This window comes from Homo sapiens, chromosome 3, assembly GCF_000001405.40.
Source record: "Homo sapiens chromosome 3, GRCh38.p14 Primary Assembly".
Taxonomy (NCBI): Eukaryota; Metazoa; Chordata; class Mammalia; order Primates; family Hominidae; genus Homo; species Homo sapiens.
In genome coordinates, this window is record NC_000003.12 from 10,410,532 (window position 1) to 10,425,852 (window position 15,321).

The window sequence follows — 15,321 nt, forward strand, 5'->3', positions numbered from 1 at the left end:
TTATTTGTGTGAGCCGTGAGTGCCCCCCAGCGTGGATGCGGTGGCCAGGTGTGCGGGGCGGTTCGTGGGTCTGAGGCCCATCTTACCTTCGTTGCCCTCGCCGGGCGGGTGGTAGAAGGACAGCCCCAGGGAGATGATGGCGGCAATCTCCAGGATGATGAGCGTCACGTCCTGCAGCGCCTCCCACACGAGCTGCAGGAAGGTTTTTGGCTTCTTTGGAGGTATAAAGTTTTGCCCAAAAATTTGCTTTCTCTTTTCCAGGTCTGGAGCGGTGCCCGGCAAACCTGTGGACAGAGAACAGAGAGGTTGGCTGGGGGCCTGGGAGAGATGCAGGCATGTTCTGGGAATCTAGGGGCAGAAAAGGAGAAACAGAGCAAGAAACTTGCTGGTGGCTGGCCCAGGAGCCCAACATCTCTTCATGCTTTGGGCCCTAAGTTGGTTCCTGCCAAAAGCCAGAGACACCGTGCAGTGGGTTGAATGGCAGCCTCCAAAATATATATCCACATCATGATCCCCGGAACCTGTGAATGTGACCTCATTTGGGAAAATAGTCCTGTTGTTGTACTTAAGTTAAGGATATCACGATGAGAGCATCCAGGATTATCTGTCTGGGCCCTAAATGCAATGACAGGTGTCCTTACAAGAGACACAGACACAGAAGGATGATGGCCACGCAAAAACAGAGGCAGAGTTTGGAGTGATGCAGCCATAAGCCAGGAAATGTCTGGGGGCACCAGACGCTGGAAGAGGCAAGGAAGGATTGTTCCCTGGTCTTCAGAGGGAGGTGGCCCTGCTGACACCTGATTTCTGACCTCTGGCCTCGAGTCATGAGAGAATAAAATTCCCTTGTTTTAAGCCACAATCAGTCTGTGGTCATTTGCTGTGGCAGCCATGGGAAGCGAATCCACACTCCTACAGCCGCCTTGCGCTGGTACCCTCCTTCCGCTCTCCCTCCTGTCGAATGCCGCGCAGTGGTTAGAGAAGAATCAGAAGCCACTGCCTGGATTAAAATCCCAGCGTGATGGCCCTCGCTCTCTGAGCCTCAGTACCCTCTACTGTAATGCGGATGGTGATTGTACTTAACCCATGGGTGGTTGTGAATATCACATGAGGTGATTCATGTGGTCCATGAGCATTTATTGAGCACCTACCAAGTGCCTGGCACTGTTGCAGACACTGGAACAGAGCAGCTCACCAGACAGAAGAGTGCCCACTTAGGAGTGGCCCTCACCGTGGATGCCTTGCAACGTGCTCGGAGCGTGCCTGGTGGACATGCAGCTGACACTGGTACTTTCTCCTCTTCTGGACAAGGGAGTGAGGTGTAGCCAGGTGCACCCCTCATCATGTGGGGACCGGACAGAGTGGTAAGGGCCCACTTCCACCCACCATCTGCATTTCCAGATAATTCTTCCAGACTTGCAAGTCCACTCTCACGCACCTGCTCAAAGGCCTTGGGAGGCTGCTCACTGTCTTTGGAATAAAGCCCGTGTTTCCCAGCCTGGCACCCTGGCCCTCTCTTCTGACCCGCAACCTGTGTCTGCAGCCTTGGCTTTTGCCATGTGGCTTCCACCCAGCAGAGCCAGGCCAGCACTTTGCCTTCCTCCTGCCACACTGTGCCCATGCTGTGCCCTTCCCTGCTCTGGCACTGGCCACTGTTTGCCTGTCTATACATCCCCTCCTAAACTCCCTGGTACTGGGGTATGGATGACCCACAGTTGACAAACCCCAGGTGTATTTGTACCTTGGAAGAGGGGCCTGGAAGGGTGAACCTCTCATGGAGGAAATTCAGGCGTGTGACCAGGAGGTGCGTGGCTCTGGTGGGGAAGACTCCCTCTGTCCACTGTCTGCTGTGCCCCTCAGAGGCCGGTGCTTCTCCTTGCTTCAGCCTTCCTTTCAAGCTGCCCCATGTCGCCCCAAGTAGCTGGTGTGCCACTTTATTTTTCCATGACAAGTGTCCTGTCACACCCCCAGGCCTTTGCTCCTGCTGTTCAGCAAACCGGGAACAGCCTTTCCTCCACTCAGCACTGTGAGCCCCTCTCAAGGGCTGAGCAGCCTCCCCTCCACCCCAGGAGGACAGTGGCCCTCTGCCTTTACTTGCCACAGTCTTCCCCGCAGCAGGCTTACCACTTCCCCAGACCCCTGTCCTACTTGGGCCGTGGACCTTGGGGACAAAGACCAGTCTGATTCCTGTCCCTCAGGGCCTGGCACCTGAAGCCTTACAATTGTCCCACCCACTAAATGCAGGTCCGAGTGTTACGAGCCTGGCCCGAGGTGTGCAGCCTGGCCCAAACAGTACAGCAAAAATGGGCCCCGCAGCGGGGCAACGACAGTCCTGTCATTGACCCAGCAAACCCTAGCTCTTCTTGTGTCTTAGTGAGGACAGATGGGGGTGGACAGGGAGGGGCACACACCCCTCATCAAACCTATGGCCTTCAGTCTACTCCTGTGAACAGCACTAGCAGCACACTGGGGTTGCAGGACTGGACCATGTGGCTGATGGGACCTCATGGTCTAATATATGGTTTTAGGGTTCTAACAGTCTGTTGTTCATTGCCTCTTCACCCATTCATTCATTCAGTTTGCATTCCTGGAGCCCCCACTGTGGGCCTAGCCTGGTGCCAGGTTCTGGGGAGTGTGATGTGCATGCAACAGACCTGGCTGCCCGTGGATGTCAGAGCTCAGTGGTTCCGGGAGTCCAGCAGCCTGTGGTTTGGGAGTCTGTCTTGGGTTCTAGATGCGGAGTCTCCTCAGATGCTGACCATGAGATCTCCATCAGGAGCCTCCAAGGGCCAGGCTGGCTGAGACACTCCCACTGGGGGAGCCCAGGGATGGCTCCCTCCCTAGGAGACCTCACGCCAGCCTGCTTGTTGGTGCAGGCAAGCTCTTGGGATCCCATGTCCTGCATGCAGTGAGAACGAATGAACCCAGAGCCAGGTTAGGCTCATTTCACAGATGGGGAGACAGGCTGCCCTGAGACCAAGCTGCTGCTGTGGGGCAGCTCCTAGGCCCTGAGAGCCCAGGGTAGCCTTGATCTAAGTGCGTGGGAACACTTCCTCCACTGTTCTGTGCTGGGCTGGCCATCTGGGAGATCCATGTACAGAGCGTGCAGGCACGGCACACTGTAGCACGATTCCAGGAACCGCAGGAAGCTTCCCTGTCTTCCTCCTTTTGTCCAATTCTACCCATAGCCAACACCTGGAATTCCTCTACTTGACCTTTATTCCTTTAATTAAAAGCTCCAATTCCTTTAGACTTTCTGGGAGGGGAAGCCATCATCAGTTCTGGATGCCATGGTGTGAATGAGTTTCATTCAGGCTTTTTCCTGGGAATGAGTTTTGACAAGGGAGAAGGGAGAGTTCAAGAGGGCCGTGGGCCTCTGAGGGAGGGGCTATGACCAGCCAACACTGGCCTGTTATGGCAGTTTGCTGTGGCTTTGGCCAGCCAATTCCCTTCTCTGAGCTACAGTTTCCCCATTTCAACAATGGGAGTGTTCAATAAGATGGGTAGGTCCTGAGAATCCCAGGGGATCTGAGGTCTGCAGGCCCTGAAATGGTTTTCCTGGGGTCTGTTTTCACATTTTGGAGCTCCTCATAAGATTTGGTGCAAATTAAGGTTTTTGCCAAGAAAAAGTAGGTGAGGCCAGCCAAACTTCTGGGCCCTGCCTGATTGATTCCAAGAGAGGGGGAGTCTCTGAACCTTCTGAGTTCTGCGATTCAGAAGTTCCGGAGTCCACAGTGTAAATAGTTGATAATGTGGGTGTTCCATTTTGGAAGTCAGGCCATATCATGCTGGGGCTCTGTCATGCTGGGAATCCACAGGCCAGGCATTGAGATCCTGAGTCCCAGGACAGCAGACAGAGCAGGGGCTGCAAATTTGAATAGGTGTGGGGGTTGGGTGGGTTTTGTGAATGAGTGAAGTAGGTGAGTGGGAGACATTAGGGAGTGGTAGAAACTGGAGCAAACTGAAGAACCTTGGCCCTTCTGAAGAGGACAGCTGCTTCTCAGCTCCTGTGGGGGAATGTGGGCCCAGTGTGGCAGATCTTCCAATCTTCTAAGAGAAGCTGGACATCTGGAATTTGATGTAAAATCTCCCCATTAAAAACATGCCAGGGCCAAGAACAACATATCTGTGGGCTGGATTCAGCCCCTAAGTTGCTAGTTTGAGACCCCCAAGGCTATGGATTGGGACAGGGCGATGTGGCTGGAAGGGTGAGGGGTCGGCACAGAGCAGCTTCTCTGTCCCTCCCTCCCTCTTCCAGGCAGCTCCTTCCCCAGCCCCCGCCCTTGCCCACTCCCCACAGACTTCCGAGAGGCCCTCTGTTCTTCAGAAATAACAACTCAGGGCATAAACACATTTGTGTGCTCTGCTAGGACTGTTCCCATGGCAGTTTCCACTACGAGCATCCCAGAATCAAAGTCCAAGGTGGGAACCCTGGGCACTGAGGCTCACATGGGGCCTCTGAGAAGGTGGAGGTGGTCATGACGTCTCGCTCACTCCCCTCTTCTCAGTGGAAGAACAGCCAAGCCGGAGCTGAGGAAACCAAGCCCCAAGAACACAGGTGGGGTTTGAACTTGGATGGCCTGCGTTCAAATCCCAGCTCTGGGTGACCTTGGTTAAGTGCTTCACCTCTCACTGCCTTCATTTCTCCTTTTGCAGGCAACAGCAGTGTCTATTTTACAGGGTTAGGGTGAGGCTTCAACACGATGTCTCACGTAAGGAGTGTAGTGCTGTGCCTGGCACCGGGTAGATGTACTGTGTCATTATTACCGCCCAGTTTTTAGGCCAGGTGGGAGATTAAGCCAGACGTTCTGGAGAGGAAGACTTTGAACTGGCAGGATTTTGACAAGATAGGAAGGGGTCAGTCAAGGTGAGGAGAGGCACAGTGGAAGGGCCTTGTGACTGCAGACAAGCCACTTCTCTTCTCTGGGCCTCAGTTTCCCCACATGTGACATGAAGGATTGGTCTGGTGGAAGGCTAGGGCTGGTGGCTCTGGTACTTGGTATCCAAAGACAGGGGTTTTGAGGACCTGCAGGTGGAACAGCTTGCCTGGTCCAGCCTACCTGTCATGCCCTTCCCAGGAGCTGAATCTTGTGGTCTCCTTTCCTTTCTGCTGAAAATTAACACACATATTTTTGGGAGCAGAAACAACAGAGGCTGGTGTGAGAGATGAATGGCGTTCGAGATTCAATTTAGATTAGAGAGCATCTCACCATTTCGCATATTAAAAATTAATACAGTGTGTCAAAGATTACCGGACAAAGGCAGCGAGGCCCTGAAAATTCAGAAACACAAATGTCCAGACAGATGCTATGTGGGGTTGTAGGCTTTCAAATGTCAATTTTCTTTCTGTGTAATTATAAGCAGAGGTCAGAGCACTAGAGGAGGAGCCAGGTTTTGGTCTTTGTTCTACCACTGACTTGTGAGTGAGCTTGGGCCAGTTTCACCCCTCGGAGACTCAGTTTTCTCATTCATAAAATGGGAACAAAATAACCTCTAGGCTGGGGAAACCCAAGCACAGAAGAATGTGTGTGAAGCTCTCTAAACTGTAAAGGCATGCACTTTTACTGTGAAGGTAAAAAAACACTCCAACACTCTCCCAGATTTTTCAACTGTGGGCAGAATCTGTGTGTCCTACCATGTATGTAAAAGAAGACAGCCACGGCGCAAAGTGAGGGACTGGCTGTATAGGAACTCCCTGCTGTCACGGCTGCTTGCTGTCAGTGGGTATTTGAGGAGCCTTGGCCTCAAAGTGCATCTGTATCCAGCTGTCCTGGATACAAACTGGGCTCTTCCCCAGCCTCTAAACCTCTGCCCTGGCCATTCCCATTCCTTTGCTTGGGGTACCTTCCTCTCTCTTTTTAGCCAATTCTGGCTCCTGCAAACTGCAGTCTCAGGCCATTAAAGAGGTTTCATTTGGTCTGCCCGGTGTTTTTAAAAAAATGGAAATTTGTTACAAACATTAAAAAGTCAATTCCCATATAGAAATCTTGACATCTAGCTCACCAAGGGCATGTGCCCAGACCTATTAGAGTTGGAACTCATGTTTGAGAGCCGTCTGACAAACTCCAGCCCCACCTCAGCTCTGTTAAGCAAAGCTCGAGGGACAGTGGTTCTCTTGGGGGCAAAGGGAGCCTGTGCTTTGGCCCCAGAGCACAGAGCTGGCGACCTGGAGGAAGAGGTACAAGGAGGGGCCTCTGGCTTTATGAGAGGGAAGGACTTTCTTTTTCTTTTTCTTTTTTTTTTTTTTAATTAGAAAGTAAACTTTAATGTCGAAAATGCAAACGGGGAGGGCAGAAAGATCACACAAAAGGCTGTGATTTCACACTTGGAGAGTTGCACAGCGGCCAGGCAGAGGCGCTCCTCACTTCCCAGATGGGGCGGCAGCCGGGCAGAGGCACTTCTCACTTCCCAGATGGTGGGTGGCGGGGCAGAGCGGCTCCTCACTTCCCAGATGGTGAGTGGCCAGGCAGAGGGGCTCCTCACTTCCCAGATAGGGCGGCAGCCAGGCAGAGGTGCTCCTCACTTCCCAGACGGCGGCGGGGGGGGGCGGGCAGAGGGGCTCCTCATTTCCCAGAAGGTGGGTGGCCGGGCAGAGGGACCCCTCACTTCCCAGATGGGGCGGTGGCCAGGCAGAGGGACTCCTCACTTCCCAGAGGGGGCAAAAGCTGGGCAGAGGCGCTTCTAATTTCCCAGACAGTGGGGCGGCCGGGCAGAGGGACTCCTCACTTCCCAGAGAGTGTGGGGGCCGAGCAGAGGTGCTCCTCACTTCCCAGACAGTGGCAGGGGCTGGGCAGAGGGGCTCCTCATATCCCAGATGGTGCAGCAGCCGGGCAGAGGCGCTCCTCACTATGAGAGGGAAGGACTTTCTAATGGGTGAGCTGAGGATGGATGGATTATTCTGGGAAGGAGGGAGGGAGCATGTTTACACAGAAGCTGGACGGCCCACAATGGGTGTCCTGCACCAGATGCCAGGCCCCACTCAAGACTCAAGATCCTCCTATCTTAAGGAGGTCTGAGTTCCCCCACCCTTCTCAGGCCCTCTGAAGCTAGAAAAGGTACCTAGGGTCATACTAAATAGTGCACATCCAGTCATTCATTTACTCATTCAATCAATCACCGAATTTTGATTGAGCACCTACTATAAGCCAGACTTTGTTCTATATGTTGGGGACACTACTGTAAGGAAGACAGGAGTGTCAGGAAGGATCGCCTGGCAGAAGTGTAGTTGTAATTGGGTGAGCTTGGAAGGAGTGAGGGTTGATCAGATGAAGGGATATGGGTGGGGAGAAGGGCTGTGAAAAGGCAAGAGAAACTCCAAAGGTCTTGGGAAAGGCTAGAGTGGCTGAAGCATTCCTGGTTTGCTCCTCAGAAGAGGGGTCAGATGGTCCTCAAGGAAGAGGACACATCTATTGTACCCTTTGTCCCCAGTGGCCAGGAAAGGCTGGGAATAGAAACTGAATTTATAGCATGCCACATGGGGTCAGGCTTACACAGGCCTTTGGGGTGAGAGTGAGAGTGTTCTCTAATGGAGACTCTGGCTCTTGTAACTCATCTTTTTGCCATCTTCCCCTTGCCTGCTTGGTAGCTCAGTACTGAATACGCAGTTCACCTCTGTGAGCTACACCAGAGGACTCAGCAGCATGCATCGAGCTGTCAAATCTCCATCCTATTTCTCCTCTCCTCTCTTTGTCTGGATTTCCTAACTTAGGGCATTTAAAGTCATTTTGTATGAGACAACTTTTATAAGCTACTTATAAAGTGGAACATGGTTAATTAATCAGAATAAAGAAAAGGCTATTGAGGTAGGTAAAGGAGCAGGGGCTGGGTTAGAGGTCAGAATGAAGGGGCGAGATGAAGGAATGCAGACATTTAACATATGGCTTACTTTCTGCTCTAGTGCTGTACTTGAGGGCAGGGCAGGGTTCTGCTCTTCCCATGTGTGGGGCACCTCACACTGAGAGGCTGGGCTGTATCAAAAGTAGAGCCCAACTGGGAGGGACTCAAGGTGAGTTTTCCAGGCCATCCAGGTGACCACTGACCTCTTCTCCCCTGTTCTGAGGCCCCATGGGGCTGCACGTCTTTATTTCCAGCAAAGTGACCCCAGAGATTGTTTTCGCCCCTGGTGAGAGCAGGAATACACTAACTGCCCTCTGAGGCTGGCTGATATTCAGGGGCACTGTCTGGCTGAGCGGACCTGCCTGCAGCCTCAGCAAATGATTTCAAGAAAAAAACCCAACAATAATCACGTCCCCCAAACTCTCCATCCACTGCTCAGAGCTAGTGTGAAAACAGATTGCTCCCCCAGAGTCACCCAGGCCACCGGGGTAGCAGTGAGGGGGTGGAATTCAGTCGAGGGCAGAACTGTTTCCAGGAGTGGGGGGCTGGGAGCTGGGCGCCTTGTCTGCAGGGCCGGGGGCCATCAGCTGGGATGAGCTGCATGGTGTGTGACAGCAGCAGGCTAATGGGTAACCTCAGCCCTGGGTTCAAATCCCAGCAGCTCTTTGGTTCAGTGCTGGTGACTTGGGCAAATCATTTCCCTTCTCAGAGCCACAGTGTTCACCTCTGTGAAATGGGAATAAATGTGCACCAGCACACAGCAGTCCCTCAAGAAACCTCCCTCCCCTCCTGCCTTTCTGGGGACCAGAGATGGGGATGTGTGTGCTGAGGTTGTCCAGAAGCCCCTCCCACCACGGGTGGCCACGTGCCCCCTGTAAGAGCCACTTAATGGACTTGGGACAGACAGACAATGCCTCTGTGGGAAAAAAGCCCTGTCTCTGGCATCCCCTGCAGTCTGGGGTTGACAGAGGATTGGGAATATGATGTGTGGAAATAGTGCTTGGCATATACTGGCCTTCACAAAGGATAGATGCAGCTGTCACTACCACCACCGTACACCACTAATGTTACTCTGGGCCTGGAATATGCATTGCAGGAATTTCTGTCTGTGTTGCCGCTGTCTTAGCTTGTGTCACAGAACACCACCACAGCCATAACATGCCCCTACCTAGATCGGGAGACCTGGTTGGCATCTACCTTTCCTTCCTATGTGACCTTGAGTGGATCACTCAGCCTCTCCGAGGGGCCTTGGGCTGTCTCACTTGAGGATCACACAGAACCAAGGCTCTGACAGTGCTTTGTAGATGGTAAAGTTGCTCTATGTTGAGCACCCATTATGCAGATGCACACACTGAGGCACAGGGTTCTTCTGCTGGGAAGGCAGCCGAGCCAGGCCTCTTGCCACAGAGCTCAGCGGCCACCCTGCCCTGTTCCAGCCTGATCTAGTTGGGGGTAGGCTGTGTCTTTCTGCAAATGCCCCACAGTGACCCTATCTGGTGAAGCCAATGTGAATGCTGATTCACTCCAGCTTGATCCCTGCGACAATGGGGTGCTCAGGAAATTTCAGATAAAACGAATGGTGAGTGCTTTCTGGGGAAAAACCACAAGGGTGACCTCGTGGCCCTGCTTCGTATATTTAAAATGTAGCCTGAGAGGCACCCAGAAGGCAGGCATGGGCCTTAGTGCCTGTGAGAGGCTGTCAGTGCATGCATGCGTGCCCGAGGATGTGGCTGAGTCAGTGTGCAGACGCGGGCACACAAAGGTGTGTGGCACAGGCTGAGTGGGGGAGGGCACCACGTGCTTCATATCCTGTCAGAGGTCAGACAGAGTGGGTAGCTTGCACAGGCATCACTGCTGGGACTGTGGGAAGCCATACCGCTTCAAGACAAAGCAATGAAATGGGACAGCGGATCTAGGTCTGGGCCTCACTAGAGACTCCTTCCAGCTCTGTGACCTTGGGCGGGTAACTTCCCCTCTCTGTGTCTTGGTTTCACTTTTTTTTTTTTTTTTTGAGACGAAGTCTCGCTCTTGTCCTCCAGGCTGGAGTGCGATGGTGTGATCTTGGCTCACTGCAACCTCCGCCTCCCGGCTTCAAGTGATTCTCCTGCCTCGGCCCCCCGAGTAGCTGGGGTTACAGGTGCCTGCCACCATGCCTGGCTAATTTTTGTATTTTTAGTTGAGATGGGGTTTCACCATGTTGGCCATGCTGGTCTAGAACTCCTGACCTCAGGTGATCCACCCGCCTTGGCCTCCCAAAGTGCTGGGATTACAGGTATGAGCCACCACGCCCGGCCTGGGCCTTGGTTTTTTCACGTGCAGCCTGAGAATAATGATAGTGCCTGCCATACAGAGTTAAACGAGGTCGCATCTGGGCACCTGGCACATGGGAAGGCCTTGACTAATATTAGCTGCTATTGTTGTTGCTATCACTGAGCTTTCTCCAAGGCACTAGTTCCTAACTTGGTTGTACACTGGAGGCACCAGGGAGCTTTAAAAAATATGAATGCCTAAGCCCCAAACTAGAGATTCTAGTTGAATTGGGCTGGGGCATGGCCCGGACCTTGGGAGTTAGAAGAGCTCCCCAGGGATTGCAATGTGCAGCAGGGGATGAAAACTTAGTGGTCCCTGGAGCGGCGGCTTCAGCATCACCTGGGGACTTGTTAGAAATGCACATTCTCAGGGCCCACCCAGACCTACTGAGTCACACACTCTTGGATGGGGCAGGGCCAGCTGCATTGTCCTTGGCAATGGGGATACAGGCTCAGGTTGAAGAGCCACCAGCCTGAGGGAGGAGGGTGAGGAGGAAGCCTAATACTTGCCAGGTGCTTTCGGCACAGCATCACCTTTGAGCCTCGCCAACAACCCTGAGACATGGGGCTTATTGCTGAGGCCTGTCCAGGTCACACAGTGGGGTGGTGACAGAGCCTGCACTCAGCCTGGGTCGACTGTTCCTTTTCTTCTGTAGGGGCTGCCAGCTCCCACAGGGCCCTTCTCCTTCCCTGAAAGCTGCCAACAGTCAGGCTCACAACCTCTCTTCCTGCAGCAGAGGAGGTCATGAGTGCTGTGGCTGACAGACCCAGACTTGAGTCCCCAGGTACACAGAACACTCTGACCCTTTGTCTCCTACTGGTGGCTGCAGAAGGCTGGAGAAGGAGAAACTAGAAGCTGAGTGGCGAGAAAAAGGAGACTGGAAGAGGAGATGAGGCAGTGTGGGGCCAGGAGCTGGTCTTCAAGTTCGGCTGTCACAGCATCCCTGCCCTGATCCGCAACCTTCCATGGCTCCCCATGTCCTCACAATCATCCAGTTCCTGGGCTCACAGTGGCCTCTCTGTGAGGTTGTCCCAAAGGACTCCTCCTGCCTCACCTCTAGCCATGCCACATTTATCCCACTCTCCTACCAAGCCACGGGTCTGCATGTGCCGGGCATTTGCCTCTGACTTGGCACATCTGGCTTCGAACCCAGGATGCCCAACCCTCTGTCGACTTATTTAGTTAGTCTTGAGAGACCCAGAAGAACATTTACTATCACTTCCTGAAAGGCTTCCTTGATTTATTCAGCAAGAACAATCTGTCCTCATCCTCCCCTGACAGCATTTGTCACCTGGCTCATTTATTCACTAACACACATTTACTGTGCATCTCTCCTGTGCTGGGTTTTGGCCCTGGGGGTCAAACACCAACTGAGACCCACCCTTTGCCACTACTGTCTTCTGGTTTCTGATTCCACCATCCCCTAGAGGGAGGCTGCTTCCACCAGCACACAGCAGGTCCTTAGGAAACCTCCCCTGGCTCCTGCCTCTCTGGGGACTAGAGATGGGGATGTAAGTGCTGAGGTTGCCCAGATGCTCCTGCACACATGGGTGGCCACGTGCCCCCTGTAAGAGCCACTTAACAGACTTGGGGCAGAGAGACAACGCCTCTGTGGGAAAACAGCTTGTGTTGCGGGCATCTGCTGTGATATCGGTCTGTATGGGCTGTCAAGGTAAGTTCAGAACCAGTCTGATGGTCTGCTATCGTCTGGTGTGCATTGCAGGCATGTATGCAATGCCTAGAGTTTATGATCACATCACGGTGTTGACGGTTCCTGATGGGCAAGGTGCAGGGTAAGGGGTGTCTCTCTGATACCTAGTGGTCCTAGGTGGGGTTTCCTATGAATCCAGTCTCTGTCATGTGGAGGGGGCAGCATTTACCTGATCCTCCCTGATAGCATTTGTCACCCAGCTCATTCACAGTTATGTGCTCATAGCAGACCTGACATCTAGACGTGCACATGCACACACAGATGTGGCACACAACTGTGGATGTGGCACTAGATTGTGGATTTGAATGTGCATAGTGCAGCGCTGGGTGGTTTCTTTGCAAGCATGTGGACGCAATGTCCATTCGCTTATGTGCACCCATGTGGACATGGCACAGAACGGGCACACAGAGGCTGTGTTCCTGTAATTCAACACACGTGTGGACACAAGTTTCCACTGATTTAAACCTATCACCTGCCTTTTCTCCAAGTCAGGCTGAGTTCCCACTCTTCTCTCCACTGTGGGAATTCTTTACTAAACTTCTCCACTCAGGGCTCCAGACTTCCCACATGGGCAGGGAAGTGGGTGTGGGGGCTGGGGATCTGAGTGGAAGGTGGTGACCAGGACTCATCTAGAAGCTGTGAAAACATCAATGATCTGTACCAAAGAATGGGGGGATCTAGTGAAGCTGGGGCCCCTGAGAAAGGTTTACTGGATAAAATATAGGATACCCAGAGAAATCTGAATTTTAGATAAACAGCAAATCATTTACTACTAATTAAAAAATTAACAAACTTATTGTTTATTTGCAATTCCAATGTCCCTGGATGCCCTGTATTTTTCTTTGTTAATCTGGCCACCCATCCCTAAGGCTCCCTGTCCCCTCTCCTCCACATCCGGTGGCCAGCCTCTCTTACCCTCCCATTTGACGGTTGGGAAAATGGAGGCCCAGAGACGCGGAAGCGACTTGATCCAGGTCCAGGGAGGTTCAGCTCCCTGGGGCTGGACCCTGACCCCTGGCCCAGGCCCTCTCAGCACCCCACAGACACGAGGGAAGGGAACAACGGCTCGGCTTGCTTGAATGGAGCCTTACTACACACACAAATGACGGCCATTTCATATTCCCTCTGTATCAACCTCACTGAAGAGATCTGGTTCAGCATGCCCAGAGGTGATCTCTGAGAGGTCTTTGTCTCAGCCCTTTGGGAAAATGGAGGCCAGAAAAGCCCCTTATTCCTCCTTCTGGGGAGGGGCCTCCATGGTTGAGCGCAGACAAGAAGCACTTCCCTGTCCCTCCAGGTGGGGACGCTTTGCAGAGCTGCTACCTGTAGCCTCCCAGGACGCCTTTCAGAGGCAGTGGATGCAGAGTTCCAGTCTCCACCCTGACACTTAGTGAGAGCTTCTGCACGTGGTGCCCCTTCCCTGAGCCTCAGTTTCTTTATCCACAAACTGGGGGAGAGGGACAACCTAGCTTCGCCTGCTGAGGTAGATGAAAGAAAGTGCAAAGGGCAGTGGTGGTGGGCACACAGCTGGCGCCCAGAGCCTGGGTGGAATATCCCTCTCCCAATCCCTTTGAGCTCAAATGTTACCCCCCGCAGTGCATCGACAGCAGTGGTGGCATGCTGGTGTCTTCTCACTGTTCTGTGATCTCAAGTGGCTCCTTCAATGATGCAGGACCAATGCCCCTCTCATAGGCCCCACTCGGCTGGGGCTGCAGACAGGCCGGCAAGAAATGAGCACATGTGCTCCTACATGATCATCACTTTATACACGGGCCTTGCATTTCCATTCTCCTGGCCATTCTGTAAGATAGGGATTTTAAACTTCATTTTACGGACAGACGGACTGAGGCACAGAGAGATAAAGAGGCCTGCTCAGGGTCATACGGCTAAAGCTAGGATTTGAACTCAGGTCCCTGAGGCTCCGAACTGTACTGTCTTCACACCCTATCATGTTGTCTGCTTCAGGATGCAGCACTGAAATCAAAGCTGACAACTCTGCCATTTTCCTTGTTACTCTTGAGACAGCCTTTTGCTATAAACAGAGACTTGGCAATAGACAAGAGCTAGTTCCTAGGGATGCCAAGCACCTGAAGGAAATTGGGAAAACTTAGTCACCAGACTGGGTGTTGCTAAATATTTGTGTTGTCACTGTGGTGTGGGTTCCTCCATTAGCATAAATAAAAATCTTATATTTCAAAAGCAAAAAATCCACAAGTCCTTCAAAAGCTACATCATTTATAGAAAAATGCATTTCTGTCTTTGGAAAGCGAGTGGGCTAAATAAACGGTGGTACATCTATTCCAAAGAATACTACACAACAGATTTAAAAAATGAGATCCATTTATATGTACTAACATAGAAGACTCTCCAAGATAAACTGCTGAGTGAAGAAAGCAAGTTGCAGAACAATGTGTATAGTTTTATTCCACTTATGTAAAACAGAAAACTCTACAAAACAATAGTCTATTTTTTATGACTATATATATGTAAATGTGTAGCAAGAGGTCTGTAAGGATCAGCTCAAACTCATGAAGGTGGTATCTCTGGGGAAGGGAAAGGGCACTATGATTAGTTGCAGTGGTTTAGGGGACTCTAGCTGTGACTGAAATATTTTAATTTTGGCTGGGCACGGTGGCTCACACCTGTAATCCCAGCACTTTGGGAGGCTGAGGCAGGTGGATCATCTGGGGCCAGGAGTTTGAGACCAGCCTAGCCAACATGATGAAACTCCGTCTCTACTAAAATATATATATATACGTATATATATATAAATTAGCTGGGCGTGGTTGTGCACGCCTATAGTCCCAGCTACTCAGGAGGCTGAGGAAGGAGAATCACTTGAACCCAGGAGGTGGAGGTTGCAGTGAGTCGAGATCGTGCCACTGTACTCCAGCATGGGTGACAGAGCGAGATGCTGTCTCAAAAAAAAAATTAATTTTAACCAAGAGAATGTTATTTAAATAATTCAGACTTTAAAGGGGAAGTCAATATGAACTATAAGAAAATAAAGGTCTGTTTCCATATAACCTTTGGATGAAGTGGATTTGGGGACAAACATTCCTGGGTTAAAATCTCAGCTGCCTCACTTACTACCTGTGTATCCCTGAGGGAGTCACTTCACCTCCTCTGTACCATAAGCTGTGGTTCCTAACCCACGGCCTGGCTGTGAAGATTAAAATAAGGTAACGAGTGTGACGCGCCGGGCACACGGTAGGTGTTCAATGTGTACCCCCATCATCTCTTCTTTTCCTCCATGTACTGTCTCTGTCTTCCATCAGAGTCCACTCCTGCCTCCTGTACCTGTTACACCATCCAGCAAAATTCAAGAAAAACATCTCAGATATGACCACATCCCTCTGCCATCTGCACACTGGTCCAGGCCACCATCCTTGCTCACCTGGATGGCCTCAGCAGCCACCTTGCCTGTCTCCCTGTTCCCACCACCCTCAATTCGTACTCTACCC

General features: G+C 52.0%; 1 protein-coding gene across 17 annotated transcripts in view; it reads right to left on the reverse strand.

The window, feature by feature from the left end:
* The window catches only part of ATP2B2 (ATPase plasma membrane Ca2+ transporting 2), a 384,094-nt gene that overhangs the window by 86,509 nt on the left and 282,264 nt on the right, over positions 1–15,321 (reverse strand). For all 17 annotated transcript variants that reach the window (NM_001438036.1, XM_017006484.3, XM_006713175.5 and 14 more), the window contains one exon: positions 87–284. In NM_001438036.1, coding sequence (NP_001424965.1) covers positions 87–284 — 198 coding nt within the window. The remainder of the gene's footprint in view (positions 1–86; positions 285–15,321) is intronic.